At 50.3% G+C, this 15,364-nt stretch overlaps 1 protein-coding gene across 7 annotated transcripts in view; it reads left to right on the top strand.

The window, feature by feature from the left end:
* Positions 854–15,364, top strand: part of CD99 (CD99 molecule (Xg blood group)) — a 50,015-nt gene continuing 35,504 nt past the window's right edge. For all 7 annotated transcript variants that reach the window (NR_135623.2, NM_002414.5, NM_001321368.2 and 4 more), the window contains exon 1: positions 854–986. Coding sequence is in view for 6 of the 7 variants with exons in the window: in NM_002414.5 (NP_002405.1) it covers positions 920–986 (67 nt within the window). In the remaining variant the exon portion in view is untranslated. The remainder of the gene's footprint in view (positions 987–15,364) is intronic.

Genomic DNA, 15,364 nt, shown 5'->3' on the forward strand with positions numbered 1-15,364 from the left:
GCTCGGACGCTCTAGAAAGGACTTGGGACGGGGGTTGCCTGTGGAGCGGGGGCCTAGGCTTCCTGAGCAGGGAGAGGATTGCACTTTGCTCCCCTTGGGGAACTCCCTGAGGTGAGCAGCGGGGAGGGGCCCCCATACTTTTCCCAGCAGGGGAGCCGGGAGTTTCCTCTGCTCCCACTGCAGAGCAGGGGAGGGTCCCTGCTAGGGGCGGAGAAGGGGCTGCAGGGGCGAGTGGGGAGGGGGGCTACACGTTTCCAAGAAGGGCGGCAGTTTCGTGTCGCTACAGTTGCAGGCGTGCATTTAGGAGGCTGTAGACAGGGAGGGACCCGCACTTTCCCGAGCAGGGGAGCTGCTGGGAAAGTTTGTTTTTTTGCTCCCACTGGAGACCAGGGGGTGAGGGGCGGAGAAGTGGCTGCAGGGGCGAGTGGGGAGAGGGGGCTCTATGTTTCCAAGAAGGGCGGCAGTTTTGTGCCACTACAGTTAAGGGCCGCCCTCGGGCGTGCATTCAGAGGGCTGTAAACCGGGAGGGACCCGCACTTTCCCGAGAACGTTGTAGTTCACTTTGCTTCGGGTCGGCGCCGCCCTGGCTACGGCCCTGTGGGTGGGTGAGGGGGCGTGGGCAGTTTCCTGAGAAGGGGCGGGGCGTGTACCGTACTCCCCTCGGCGCTGCCTGGGCCACCCCCGCCCGCCTACCCCCTCTGTCTCCTCCCCGGGCCCGGCGTTCCCGCCCCTTCTGTGCGCGCGTGGAGGCCGGGGCGGGGCGGGCGCAGCCGGCGCTGAGCTTGCAGGGCCGCTCCCCTCACCCGCCCCCTTCGAGTCCCCGGGCTTCGCCCCACCCGGCCCGTGGGGGAGTATCTGTCCTGCCGCCTTCGCCCACGCCCTGCACTCCGGGACCGTCCCTGCGCGCTCTGGGCGCACCATGGCCCGCGGGGCTGCGCTGGCGCTGCTGCTCTTCGGCCTGCTGGGTGTTCTGGTCGCCGCCCCGGGTGAGCGAGCGGAGGGATCCGGGTTGGGGGACGCGGAGGGCGCGGGCCGGGACTGGGGATCCGCTTGAGATGCGGCGTTGGGGGCGCCCCGCGGGGACACCCGGAGCCTCCTCCCTGCCCGGCAGGACGCGCTGTGCCCACGGGGGCCCAGGCCCGGAGGAGGCGCCCACTTTCTCCCCAACGCTTTTCCTGGAGCCGTTCCAGAGAGAAAAGTCAGCGTTTGTTGTCGGAGTTGCAAACTCTTACATGTGGGGCGGCCTTGGGAGAGGTGCGTCCGATTTTTCCCAATCTAGGGGACCTTCTTACAGATCTCTCTCCCTTTGCATGAGCCCCTCACCCCACCCCGTTATCTACCCCCAGGGTTTGGGGACCTGCGTCTTCAGGCCGCGCGCGGAGGCCGCCCTGGAGTTGCCTGTCACAGCCACGCCCTGCGTCCCGGGCCTAAATTTGGAATCGCTAGGAGCCTGAGACCCGGGTGGTGGGGGGAAGGGAAGGAAAAGTTAGAAAAAAACTTTGAGCCCTGAAAATGTTCAAAAATACTCTGTGGATGCGGGCTCCGGGAATTTCAGCGCGTGCTGTGCGCCAAGCAACACGGGGCGCAGAAAGAAACGTGTGCTTACCAAATTGTCCATCTGCGGCGGTGGAGAATTCGGAAAACAGAAAAAGTGGGCAGGGAAGAAAGAGCCACGGTCACCCTCCCACGCCCTAAACCGGGCCTATTTCTAATTATTACTTTAATCATGTTTTTCTGTTTCCCTCCCTTTGAAACGGAAACGGAGACCCTGCCGGATGTGGTATGTTATAAATTCTTTTTTCATGTTATAAATTCTTTTTTCAATGGTCAGTGCATTTTTTGCTCTTCGTATGGGCAGGCTTTTAAGTAGACCGGCTTGCGGGCAGTGTGGACTTCAGGACGGGCCTTATCAGGGCTGGACGTATTTAGGAAGGAGACGCGGGAACGCCCGGCCCTGGGGAGGACGGAGGAGGCCCGATTTGTGTTGATAGGATCTAGCTCAGCCTAGAGCTGCGGTGACTAGGCCGGGTCTCTATTTTTAGGGAGGAGTTGCTAATGGATTTACACCCTCTTTAAAGGGGTCCCGGGTATCCTAGAAATTGTGCTTTCACTTGGTAGAGATTAGAGATAATGAAGCCTGCTCCGTAGAGGAAAACTTGGAGGACTTTCCAGCCTGCAGGGGAGGTTCCAAGCAGAGCTTCCTGTTTCTCCCTTTTCTTCCTAAATGTCCTTCTTGCGGGCAACCTGTCACCACGGACGGGATGGCTCTGTAGGGTTTTATCAGCTGCATTTGTTCCCCAGGCACCTGCAGATGAACGGGTTTTTCACTTGTCTCTCTGCGAATGCATTCCTTCATCCTTCATGCCTGCCTTCCTTCTTTTGCACCTACTGTGGGCTTGGGGTCAGGGAAATATATCCAAGGGAGTGCTGGTGGCCTAAGAATTCAGTTTCCTGGAGAACAGAGGCATCTGAACAGGCAGACGGGAGACAGGGCCACAGGGACCTTTATAGTTCCATCACGAAATAACTCAGGGGTTCCCAGTGGTAAATCTTGGTGAGGGGCTTGGCTGGATTTTGAAGCCCTAGGGACAGATTTGCCGGCTGGTCTGGCGTTCCAGGTCATTGGAGCAGAGTGAGTGGAAAGCCTTATATTCTCTAAGCCCCAAACAAGTCGTTGCACAGTTTTTTTGTTTTTGTTGGTGGTGGTGGTTTTTTTTTTTTGGACGGAGTTTCACTCTGTCACCAGTCTGGAGTGTAGTGGCACGATGTCGGCTCATTGGCGTTGCACAGTTTTTAAACCCACAGCAGTGTTCATCTGGAACTCCTGATTTTGGAAGCAGACTGGGCTTAGGAACTCCAGCTGCTGATGCTTTGAGTAAAGGGAAGAGTACCTGTCTATGGGGTGGGTGGGTAGGGAAGAGCAGTGGGATAGGGGCATAACAGGGGCCAACCTATCCTTCCAATTGCAGAGGAGGGCCTGGCCGTCAGCACTGATGGATCTCCTTGAGGGACGCTTCTCACCCCTTCTTTGCAGTCTGACCCTGCTAGAGATGGAGACAGAAACAGCCTGTCCCAATAATATTAATACACGTTTCATCGGGAAAGTTGACTTTTGAGTTGGTGATGCTCAGAACACACTTTCTTATAGCAACGTGCATCAGGCTGCAAAACCCCGTTGAGCCTGAAGTAGGTTCTCAGACTGGTGCTGATAGCTCTGGCCTGATCTCAGAGTGTTGGGGACCCTGTGTTCCTTGGTTCCTTCATAAATTCTCAGGGGTACAGGTGGGATGTGGTGAGGGATGGATGGACAGAGGGAGGTGTATAGAGGAAAAGAGGAGGCTTCAGCTTTGTAGAGAGCAGGATGTCCCCACAGGGCGACGTTGGCCCCGAGGAGACACTTTGTGATGGTTGCAGACATTTTTGGTTGCCACCCTGGGGTGGGACATCCCACCATCCTGCAATGGGTGGGGCAGCTTAGGGAAGCTGCTCAGAATCTTTCAAGGGCCAGGACGGCCTCCAGCACAAAGAATTCATCTGGTCCCAAATGCCAGTGGTGTTGAGGGTGGAAAACCCTGAGGAGGGCTTGGGAGTTGCATGTATGCGCTGATTCAGGGCTGCCCCTGCAGTTAGGAGCCTGCCGTCCCGACAGTAGAGTCGCACACATCCGATGCATCCCTGCTCTCTGGCAAAGGCTGATTTGCCCCACCCCCCGGGGCAACGGCACAGCGGCCTGTGCGGTTTGAAAAACTCCAAACATCTACGGAACCGACATCTCTTGAACAATACCAGGCCTCTTCAGGATTCCCTCGCCCCAGTAGAGCAAGTGTGGGCTTCGTTGTTTTTTTTTTTTTTTAACTCTCTCCAGAGCTCTTGTCTCCTGCCCCTGTGGGTGTGTGTGGAAGTTATTAGGAGAATGTTTCTGGGCAGAGGAAGTGGGTTTTATCATCCAGCGAGTTTGCCTTGATTTTCCATCAGCGCGTTTGGCTCTGGTAAAAGTTGATTGCTTTGCATTTAACTCCCTACTTTAGGCCGAGCACGGTGACTCAGGCCTGTAAATCCCAGCACTTTGAGAGGCCGAGGGCCGGTGGGTCACATGAGGCCAAGAGTTCGAGACCAGCCTGGCCAACATGGCAAAACCCCGACTCTACTAAAAATACAAAAATTAGCCGGGCGTGGTGGTGAGCGCCTATAATCCCAGCTACTCAGGAGGCTGAGGCAGGAAAATCACTTCAGCCCGGGAAGCAGAGGTTGCAGTGAGCTGAGATCGTGTCACCGCATTATGGCCTGGGTAACAGAGAGAGACTCAGTCTCAAAGAAAAAAAAAAACTTCCTGCTTTAGCTCTTTCTCCTTTCTCTGTGTATGAGACAGAGTTTTCATGTAAAGACAAATACATGTCTTTACACTTTGGAGATACTCAAGTAAATGATTGTTTGTCTGGAAATCATTTTTCTTCCTGAAGGTCCTATGGTGGGTACATGCTGTCATTTAGAAAGAAATGCAGCTCATACAATACTTTTCCCAATTCAGCATTTAGGAATCATGGCGGGATTTCATGGATACTGTCTGGAATGTTTTCGGACTCAGATATCTTCCCCCGGGGAAATAGACTTCTCAGTAGCCACGTGGACCTTGTGCTGGTTTTCAGTCCTGCTGAAAATGTTCTGAGCACTCTTGTTACTTTAGGGGAAAAGAATTACGTGTCCTTTGTGATTTATAGACACAGTAAGAAATAAGACCTGTGTGTCTCTCGGGGTGCGAAGGAGGAAAAGTCTTTTTTTTTTGAGATGGAATTTTCCTCTGTTGTCCAGGCTGGAGTGAAGTGGCACGATCTCAGCTCATGGCAATCTCTCCATCTCAGGTTCAAGCAGTTCTCCTGCCTCAGCCTCCCAATTAGCTGGGACTACAGGCATGCACTGCATATCTGGCTAATTTTTGTATGTTTAGTAGAGAAGGGGTTTCACTATGTTGACCAGGCTGAAAAATATTTTTTTGAGGTGGGGTCTCTGTTGCCCAGACTGGAGTGCAGGGGTGCAATCAGGGCTCACTACAGCCTCCACCTCCTGGGCTCAAGCAATCCTTCCACCTCAGCCTCTGTAGTAGCTGGGACTACAAGCACACACCACTGTGCCTGGCCACTTTTAAATTTTTTTGTAGAGACAGGGTCTTGCTATGTTGCCCAGACTGAAAAAAAAGTCTTTTTTTTTTTTTTGAGACAGTGTCTCACTGTGTCACCCAGGCTGGAGTGCAATGGCAGGATCTTGGCTCACTGCGACCTGTGTCTCCCGGGCTCAGGCAATTCTCCTGCCTCAGACACCTGAATAGCTGGGAATACAGGCACATGTCACCACACCTGGCTATTTTTTGTATTTTTAGTAGAGACGGTGTTTCACCCTGTTGGACAGGCTGGCCTCAAACTCCTGGCCTCAAGTGATCTGCCCACCTTGGCCTCCCAAAGTGCTGGGATTACAGGTGTGAGCCACCTGAAAAATCATTGTAAAAATCAACTGTCCTACATTCTTATTTGGAAGTGACTCCTCTAACCAAAGACAGGGAAAAACAAACCAAACTTTATTAACATGCGTTTTTCATTGATACATGAGAGATACCTAGAAATGGGTAGTTTTCAAGGAAGTGGCTTGGATTCTAGCTGCTCTAGTACCCTCAACAAAGAACAGTCCATTTTTAGAGAATTGGCAGAGAAAGACAAAGGACTTTGAGTCTTCAGGGGCAGCAACAAAATGGCAGAGAAAGGCTGGTTATTGAAGCTTGTTCATTCTGAGTCCTGTGTTCCATGTCCCAGGCCCATGTGGATTTTCTGCTGTCTTCCGTGCTTCACCTCTGTTCTCCCAGTTGGGGAGGTGGGGTTCGGATTGCTTGTGAATGTGGGCTCATCGTTGCTGGTGTAGCTGCAGGCTGCAGGCTGTCCAGGGCTTGAGGATTTGCTGATATTCTTTCTTTTCTTTTCTTTTTATTTTGAGATGAAGTCTCGCTCTTTTTCCCCAGGCTGGAGTGCGATGGTGCGATCTCGGCTCACTGCAACCTCTGCCTCCCAGGTTCAAGCAATTCTCCTGTCTCAGCCTCCTGAGTACCTGGGATTACAGGTGCCCGCCACCACACCTGGCTAATTTTTGTATTTTTTTAGTAGAGGTGGAGTTTCACCATCTTGGCCAGGCTGGTTTCGAACTCCTGACCTCAGGTGATCCGCCCGCCTCGGCCTCCTAAAGTGTATTCTTTTTTGATTTATTCCCAGTCTCTTGGCTGAAACATGGTAGCTCACCAGCATTTCTACTCCCATTTGTCCAACTGACGGTATCTTTTCACATCTCTAGAGACCAGAAGGACTTCCTCTTCTTGAATTTCCTGTTCAGTATTCTTTCTTGGCTTGGTTCCTTGGTGAGTTTTGAGGAGATGGTGCATGGGTGTGTTTTTCGGCTTTGTTTTAGTATGACTCAGGGTTGCCACCATGCCTTGTACGGTCTCCTAGTCATAGTATTAAAGTTTCCGCTTAGCAGGAAACCAGAAACTTCCTTTCTTCTCCCCCAGAGTCAGATTCAAACCAGTGTTTCTCAAGTGGGCTGTGAAAGTAGCTTGCAGCCACCCACCTTGCAAAGAAGAAAATTCAACAGAGGAGAGGAGAAAATGCCCACAGGGTACATGGAAAGCCTTGCTAAAGAAGCCGCATGGGCAAAGCTTTTGTTCCGCTCCCTCTGTCCCGGTGGGCTGGGCTGAGATATAATATATGTTTGTCATTGTGGACGGCAGCTGGATGAGTCTGAAAGCGGTTGCAAACCCCTTTAATTCACTTTGCTTTCTCAACTTTGAATGGTGTCGTGGGCTGGGGTGGGTCCCCTGTTTTTGAGAATCACCTGAAAGAGTCTGATTTTCTGCATCTTTTCGGGGAGTAAAGCTGTTGCTCCAAAGCGCTGTTTAAAAGCTGATAATAGTGTATCTGGTTGAGCTAACAGCCCTTCTTGAGGAGGCAGCAGACTGGCCAGAGGGTTCTGCAGGCATTACTCATCAGCGACACCTGAGTTTGCCCAGGTAGCCTGACTCTTGTTTGTTTCTGCTTTGCCTGACCCTGCAAAATTATTGTCCAAATGCACCCTGGCAAGCATTGATCCACGAGGGGATGCTGACCAGAAGGAGCTTTCGTTTCTGCACGATGGACTGGAACACGATGGACTGGAATGATGACAAGAATAAACACACTGCATTGTCTTTTAGGGCCAATGGACTTGGAGGCATAGAGATTTTATAACTACTGCCAGAACCCAAATATTGCCAGTCGGCCTCTTCTGCTGCTGTTGCTAGCTGTCTTCTTCTGGGGGAAATGGGTTGGGTTCTAAATATGAATTAACACAGGGCTGTCTTCGATGAATTCAGCACAAAATGTTCTCAGCAATTGAACACTCGGAGAGAAGTGTTAGGCATTTAGTGCAGACTCATAGAATAGCAGGACAGGGAGGGATTTGGATCTGGGCAAGCAGGAGATGGATATGAACATCTGTCTTTTGAGACCGTGCCGAGGTGGCAATGAAGGTAGAGGCCCCCTGTGTTGAGGTCTTTACTCAAGAGGCTGTGGTCCTTTGGGACTAACATAGCATCCGATAGACAGACAAGATGGACAGCTACAGCCACCTATGGGAAGCGGTTTCTACTCTTAAACCACAAGCCCCTAGACACTCATCATATCATAAACATATCACCGGGCAGTGGCTTGCAATCTTTTTTTTTCTTTGTTTCTTTTTTTTTTTTTTTTTAGACTTGCCCAGGCCGGAGTGCAGTGGCACGATTGTAGCTCACTGCAGTCTTGACCTCCTGGGTGCAGGTGAATCTCTCACCTCAGCCTTCCAAGGAGCTGGGACCACAGGCATGTGCCACCCTCAGCTAATTTTTAAAATCTTTTTGTAGAATCGGAGTCTGACTACATTGCCCAGGCTGGTCTTGAACTCCTGGGCTCAAGCAAACCTCTCGCCTCAGCTTCCCAAAGTGCTGGGGTTACAGGCGTGAGCCACCATGCTCAGCCTGCAATCATTTTTTTTGAGACAGGATCTCACTCTGTCGCCCAGGCTGAAGTGCAGTGGTGTGATCTCAGCTCACTGCAGCCTCGAACCCCCAGGCTCAGGTGACCTGCCCACCTTAGCCTTCTGTGTAGTTGGGACTATGGGCACATGCCACCACACTCAATTAATTTTTACCTTTTTTGTAGATACAGAGTTTTGTTCTGTCGCCCAGGCTGGTGGACATATTTTAATCCTACAGAGTCCAGGCTAAAAACACACCAGTAACTGTGATGCCCATCCCTCCTGCATTCCTGATTTCTGAGTGATGGTTTCAGACACAAACCTGCTTGACCACCCTCCAGTAGCTCTTGCTGACCTAGATCCGAGGTTCTCAGCTTTGGCCCCATTGCGGGAAGCTTGGAAACGTCACTCTTGCCCAGGGTTACCTGGGTAGTCTGGTTTATAGACGTGTTAGGTGTTTTAATTTTTTTTTTTTTTTGAGACAAGATTTTGCTCTGTCACCCAGGCTGGAGTGCAGTGGTACAGTCATAGCTCACTGCAGCCTCAACCTCCTGGGTTCAAGCAGCCCACCTACCTCAGCCTCGAAAGAAGCTGGGACCACAGGTGCACCTCACCATACCCAGCTAATCTTTTCTTTCTTTTTGTTTTTTTCTTTTCTTTCCTCTTCTTTTCTTTTCTTTTGTTTTCTCTTCTCTCTTTTCTTTCTTCTTCTTCTTTTTTTTAGACAGAGTCTTGCTGTGTTGCCCAGGCTGGAGTGCCTTGGTGCAATCTTGGCTCACTGCAACTTCCGCCTCCCTGGTTCAAGTGCCTCTCTTGCCTCAGCCTCCTGAGTAGCTGGAACTACAGGCACGCACCACCACGCCTGGCTAATTTTTGTATTTTTAGTAGAGACGGGATTTCACTATGTTGGCCAGGATGGTCTCGAACTCCTGACGTCGTGATCTGCCCACCTCGGCTTCCCAAAGTGCTGGGATTACAGGTGTGAGCCACCGCGCCCAGCCTTTTTTTTTTTTTTTTTTTTAAATTACAGAGTCTCACTCTGTCACCAGGCTGGAGTGCAGCGATGCAATCTTGGCTCGCTGCAACCTCTGCCACCCAGGTTCAAGTGATTCTTCTGCCTCAGCCTCCCTCAGGCGTGAGCTGGCACGCCCAGCCAAATTTTTCATTTTTTGTAGAGACAGGGTCTCCCTATGTTGCCCAGTTTAGTCCTGAACTCCTGAGTTCAAGCCATCCACCTGCCTTGGCCTGGCAAAGTCTTGGGTTTATAGGCGGGAGCCACTGCATCCCGCTATTAGGAATTTTTAAAAAGCCCCTCGGAGGGTCTTCATGTGTGGCTGAGTTGTCAAGAATCATTGTTATTTTACTAGATATTCTGTTTCTTCCCTCCTACATGAGATTTCCCATGACCGCCTCTCGGATGTGAATGTCTATGCCATGGATTACATTTTTCAAAGAGCATTCAGTTTGTTATTTCATCTTCAGCGAGCCCTTAAGATATTTCTCATGGGCCTTTTGTAGATAAAGACACTGGGGTCAGAGAGTTCAGGAGCTTGCTGGTGATCACATGGTCAGCATGGGGAAAAATGCATGTGGACATGAGTTCTGTTGGTGGTGAGACGTGGGCACAGGGGTTGCTGGGCTTGGGAGTTGGTGGCTGCGTGTGTGGGCTGAACAGAGCTCCCCAGGCACGGCCTTGTGGACCTTGAGGGATGCCTGCCTTCACCACTAGTGTGACTTGAAGGGGAGGAGAATGTCCTGAATCAGTGATGGGCATTTTGATATGGAAGAGAACTCCCTTGAATCCTGGTGGTGAACTTAGACCAGTCACTGAGGCCTCTCCAGCTCCTCAGGGTCTCCGTGTTCTAGGTATCCATGTGTCCTTCCATCCATTTATCCATCCATTTATGCATCCATGCATCCATCCAGCCATGCATCCTCCTTTTATCCATCCATCCATCAACCCATCCTCCCATTCATTTACCCATCCATCCGTTCGTCCATCCATCCATCCATCAACCCATCCTCCCATTCATTTACCCATCCATCCATTCATCCATGCATCCATCCATCCATGCGTGCATCCATCCATCCATTTATCCATCCATCCATCCATCCATCCGTCGTCCCATTCCTTTATCCATCCGTTAATGCACCTGTCCATCCATCCATCCATTCTCCATTCATCTTTCCATCCATGCATCATCCATGCATCCATCCTTTTAGTTCATCCAGCCACTCATCAATTGATACATCCATCTGTCCACCATCCACTCATCTATCCATCCATTCACCCATCCTTTCATCAATTTACCCATCTACCATCCATCCATTTATCCGTTCACCCATTCATCTATCCATCTGTCCATCCATCCACCTATCTGTTCATCCATCCATCCATTCATCTATCCATCCATCCACCTACTCACCCACCCACCCATCCATCCACCCACCCAACCATCCATCCACCCAACCATCCATCCATACCTCCATCCGTCTACCCACCCACTCATCCACTTAACTACCCATCCATCCACTTATCCATGCATTCATCCATCCATCCACCTACCTACTCACCCACCTAAACTCATCTATCCACTCAACCATCCATCCACCTATCCACCCTTACCTCCATCCATCCCCTTACTGCCCATCTTTCCACTCATCCCATCCAACTACCCATCCATCCACCCAGCTGTCCACCCAACCATCCACCCACTCACTAATTTATCCACTCACCCACGCATGCATCCATCCATCCATCCATCCACCCACCCATTTACCCACCCACCCATCCATCCACTTACCTGCCTGTCCATCCACCCTCCCAGTCCATGGCTCTTTCATGTATTCCTTCAGCCAGCATAGGTTGAAGTTAAATGTACTATTGGTGCTATTTGCTGTGGTCCCTGTTTTTTGTTCTCTGCTTTGGAGGTAACAACCAGGGCATCAATTTGGGCATAAAAGCACCATTGTGGATGGAAGGCCTGGATGTCTGGAGGCACAGAGCAGGGACTACACTTGTTCAGGGGGTCAGAGAGAGTTCTCCCAGGAGGGGCCCTCCCTGGACACTGAGCTTCCAAGAATGAGCAGAGGAAACCAGGTGTAAGGAAGAGGAAGGGCCTCTTCTCAGCCTGGTAGACAAGCAGTAAGAGTGATGATGGGGCAGCTGCAGTTCATCTCAGACTAGAGGAGCTGCAGGGGCCAGATGGTGGGCAACCTCTGTTGCCACTGCTGAGGAGTGCAGATTTAAGCTCCCCTGAAGGGTTTGACGCAGACAGCTGTGCGGGGACGCTTAACCTGCCTAAGGCCCGTCTTTGGGTAACAGCATGCAGAACAGGTGGGAGGGGCTGGGGCTATTTTTGGCAGAGCGTGGATAAGTCAGTGGAGATAGAAGAGAAGGCACAAGCTATTTTAGGAGATATTGAGGAAGTTAAAATCTGTAACAGGTCCCTGCCTGCAGAGTTGACCACACGTTTGCATCACATGGGTAGGCTTTAAAATATAGATGCCTGCATCTCACCTTGGAAAGTTTCTGATTTAATTAGCCTGGGCATCAGGACTTAGGAAAACCCCACAGATGTGTGTAATTTGCTGCTGGAGTTGAGAACTGGGGTGCGGAGCTGTGCTCCTTAAACTGTAATGTGCTTACAGATCACCTCTGGTAATACTTGTGAGAAAGCGCTTCAGGTGGGCTAGGGAGAGGATCACGGAGGGCTTCCTGGAGAAGGTGACATTCTCCCAGGGCCTTGAGGGGTGAATAGACATTTTCCAGGTTCAGAAAGAAGGAATGGGCTTTCATGGCCAGGTAGAGGATCCAATGAGGCAGACGAGGGGCCCAAATTCTGTGACCCCCTACCCCTACCCCACCCCCAGGATGCCCCTGTATCAGTCCCATGGTGTAACAACCAAATTCACAAGATGCTGCAGAGGGGAAGAGATTTTAAATTTTCTGAGAAAGACAATGATATATTTTGGACACCATGAGAAATACTGTTATTAACTTGTTTTAACCTAGGTACACGCAATCTTCATCATTCAGTGATTCTGTATTTGTGACTTGCCTGCTTACTAAAATGTATTTGTCATCCCCACATCAATATTCCTGGCATTTAATTTTTTTATTTTAAACTTTCATTTTAGGTTCGGGGATACATGTGAAAGTTTGTGACTTAGGTAAACATGTGTCATGAGGTTTTGTTGTACAGATTATTTCATCACTGTGGTATTAAACCCAGGACCCAATAGTTACCCTTTATGTTCTTCTCCTTACCCTCGGCTATTTTGTTCATGCACAGAACGGCAAAAAAATTGAACTTTTTTTTTTTATTTTTTTTGGATGGAGTCTCCCTCTTTCGCCAAGGCTGGAGTGCAGTGGCGTGATCTTGGCTCACTGTAACCTCCGCCTCCTGTGTTCAAGTGATTCTCCTGCCTCAGCCTCCCGAGTAGCTGGGATTACAGGCATGGGATTACAGCCACCACGCCTGGCTAATTTTTGTATTTTTAGTAGAGACGGGGTTTCACCGTGTTGGCCAGGCTGCTCTCAAACTCCTGGCCTCAAGTGATTCACCCGCCTGGGCTTCCCAAAATGCTGGGATTACAGGCGTGAGCCACCACACCTGGCCAGAATTGAGCTTCTCAATAGCACATGTTCTCAGCTGAGGTTCAACAAAGCCAGACCCTGCCTTCTCGGGCCAGCGCGTACTGTCAACAGGGTTCTTTGCAAGGTCTATTTGGTGTCCCGTGTTTTGTGTTTTCGTGCTTTTTGTCAGTGATTTTGCGCTTTCAAATATCCCCAAGTCGGTGCTGACATGCTACCTAGCGTCCCTAAGTACAGGAAAGCTGGCATGGTCTCACGGGGAAAATACACATTTGATGAGCGTCATTTAGGCACGAGTTATAGTGCTGTTGGCTTCGAGATCAATGTGAGTGACTCCACAATGTCTATTCACTGCGGTGTCTTTAAACAGAAACCCACATAAAACGCGCTTAGGTAGTGATTGGTTCATGACCTCTGGGAACGTAGTCCTGTATTTACGTGGGAGCAATAGTTCACTATTCGCTAATTCAGTGTTCGCTGAGACTTTATAAAACGTAACTGCTTTGAATAACAAAGCTGTAATTAACAAACCGAGCTGTTAAGTGTGTGTGTGTGTGTGTGTGTGTGTGTGTGTGTGTGTGTGTGTGTTGGCCTCACATCATTTTACAGAGACACACAGGGCTCTGTGAACTGCTAATAGTTGGGACCGGCGGAGGGGTTATTTCAAGCTAGTCCAAAACTGCAGGGCAGAGACCACTTTGAAAGGAGATCAGCAGTCGGGGAGTGGCTGGGATGAAGTTGGAAAAAGTGCTGAGGCCCCTAAGTCAGTTTCCGGTGTTTCCACGTTAGCCTTGGGGGGTGATCACTCAGTTTCCTGTAGGGATGGGATCTGGGCTGGCATCTGCCTGTGGAAGGGGTGACAGGGACGGAGAGCAGGGAACCCCGAGCAGCCCTGCCTTGCTGTTGTCTGAGCCTCAGAACTCCTGAAGGCGGGGTCCTTCAGCATCACCCTGGAGTTTGTTAAAAATGCAGGCTCATGAGCCTCACCCCAGACCACAGAACGAAAATGTCTGGGGGTGAGACCCAGGATTCCACGTCTCCCCAGGTCCCTCGCAGGGCGATTCTGAGAACTGCCGGTGTGAGGCGTGCTCAGCCCAGCCCAAACATTCACACCATTCTTTGGCCTCTTGTAAAACTTGGCGTAGCTCAGGGGACGTTCCCAGAGTTATGGCACACGAACAAAAGAAAGTTTCCCACTTCTTACCAAACATATTGTAAAATTACAGGAAAGAGCTTGTTCTTTCACGTCTATACCCTTGTGCCGTCGTCCTAGTTAGGATGAAGCCGAGATGTTACCTTGTACCTTAGGCCACCGCAGACAAGGAAGTATATGCAGTTTAACCACCTGCATATAATCTTTTTCTTTTTTCTTTTCTTTCTTTTTTTTTGAGACAAAGTCTCATTCTATCACCCAGGCTAGTGTGCAGTGGCACAGTCTCGGCTCACTGCAACCTCCATCTGCCAAGTTCAAGAGATTCTTGTGCCTCAGCCTCCCAAGTAGCTGGAACTACAGGTACACGCCACCATGCCCAGCTAATTTAGCAGAGATGGGGTTTTGCCTTGTTGGCCAGGCTGGTCTCGAACCCCTGACCTCAGTGATCTGCCTGCCTCAACCTCCCAAAGTGTTGGGATTACAGGAGTGAGCCACCATGCCCTGCCTATTTTTTGGAGGCAGGGTCTCTCTCTGTTGCCCAGGCTGGAGTGCCGTGGTGCAGTGTCAGCTCCCTGCAATCTCAACCTCCACAAGCGCAGGCCATCCTCCCGCCTCAGCCTCCCAAGTAGCTGGGACCATGGGAGTGCGTCACAACACCTGTCTAATTTTTGCATTTTTTGTAGAGACGGGGTTTCATCATGTTGCCCAGGCTGCTGTTGAACTCCTGGGCTCAAGCAATCCTCCCACCTTGGCCTCCCAAAGTGTTGGGATTATAGGCGTGAGCCACTGTACCCGGCCACCTATGTATAATTTTCAAGCTAAGAAGACAGAGAGACGAGTTTAACTATTGCTACAGACATGAAGCCCTTCCCTTTCCATAGTTTGCTAGCAGAGAGTGTTTCCAGGGCCCGGCGGCCACTATCACCCACTGCGTTCATAGCTTTCCATGGGGTGAACAGATTGCGCTGGACTCAGCGGTTAAATCTAAAGTGTAGGATGTTTGGTGAACTCGGAGTTCCTTGCACTTGTCTGTGATCTGGCACATTGTGTTTTCTGTACTCAGATATGCAGTCACTGGCACACATCCTGTTACTGACGGGAAGCTGGACCCAGCACTGGAGTATTTCTGAGACTATGACACTCTGGTGTATTCCTGAAACTATTTATGACACTATTAAGCTCTTTTCTGTAATTTTACAATATGTTTGGTAAGATCTCAGCGCCAGATTTTTTTAAATGATGTGTTTATTTCTTTTAATTGACAAATACACATTGTATGTGTTTATGCGGTTGCACATGGTGTCTTGATGTATGTATCCATGGTGAGATGGATTTAAATATGCATGACCTCACAGACTTTGCAGCACTTTTTTGTGTGTGGTGAGAACACTTATTCAGAATGGGCTCCTTTAGTCGTTTTCAAATATTCAAGCCATTGTTACTAATTGCAGTCGCCATGGTGTCTCTGAGCTTTCCTGAAGTTATTTGTCCTGTCTCATGGACGCTTTGTGCCCTGTGACCGATCGTCTGCCCGGTGTTAAATGACACATCTTGAAAAAGAGGACAATACTTCCAGAGCGATTCGGTTT

This window comes from Homo sapiens, chromosome Y, assembly GCF_000001405.40.
Source record: "Homo sapiens chromosome Y, GRCh38.p14 Primary Assembly".
Lineage (NCBI taxonomy): Eukaryota > Metazoa > Chordata > Mammalia > Primates > Hominidae > Homo > Homo sapiens.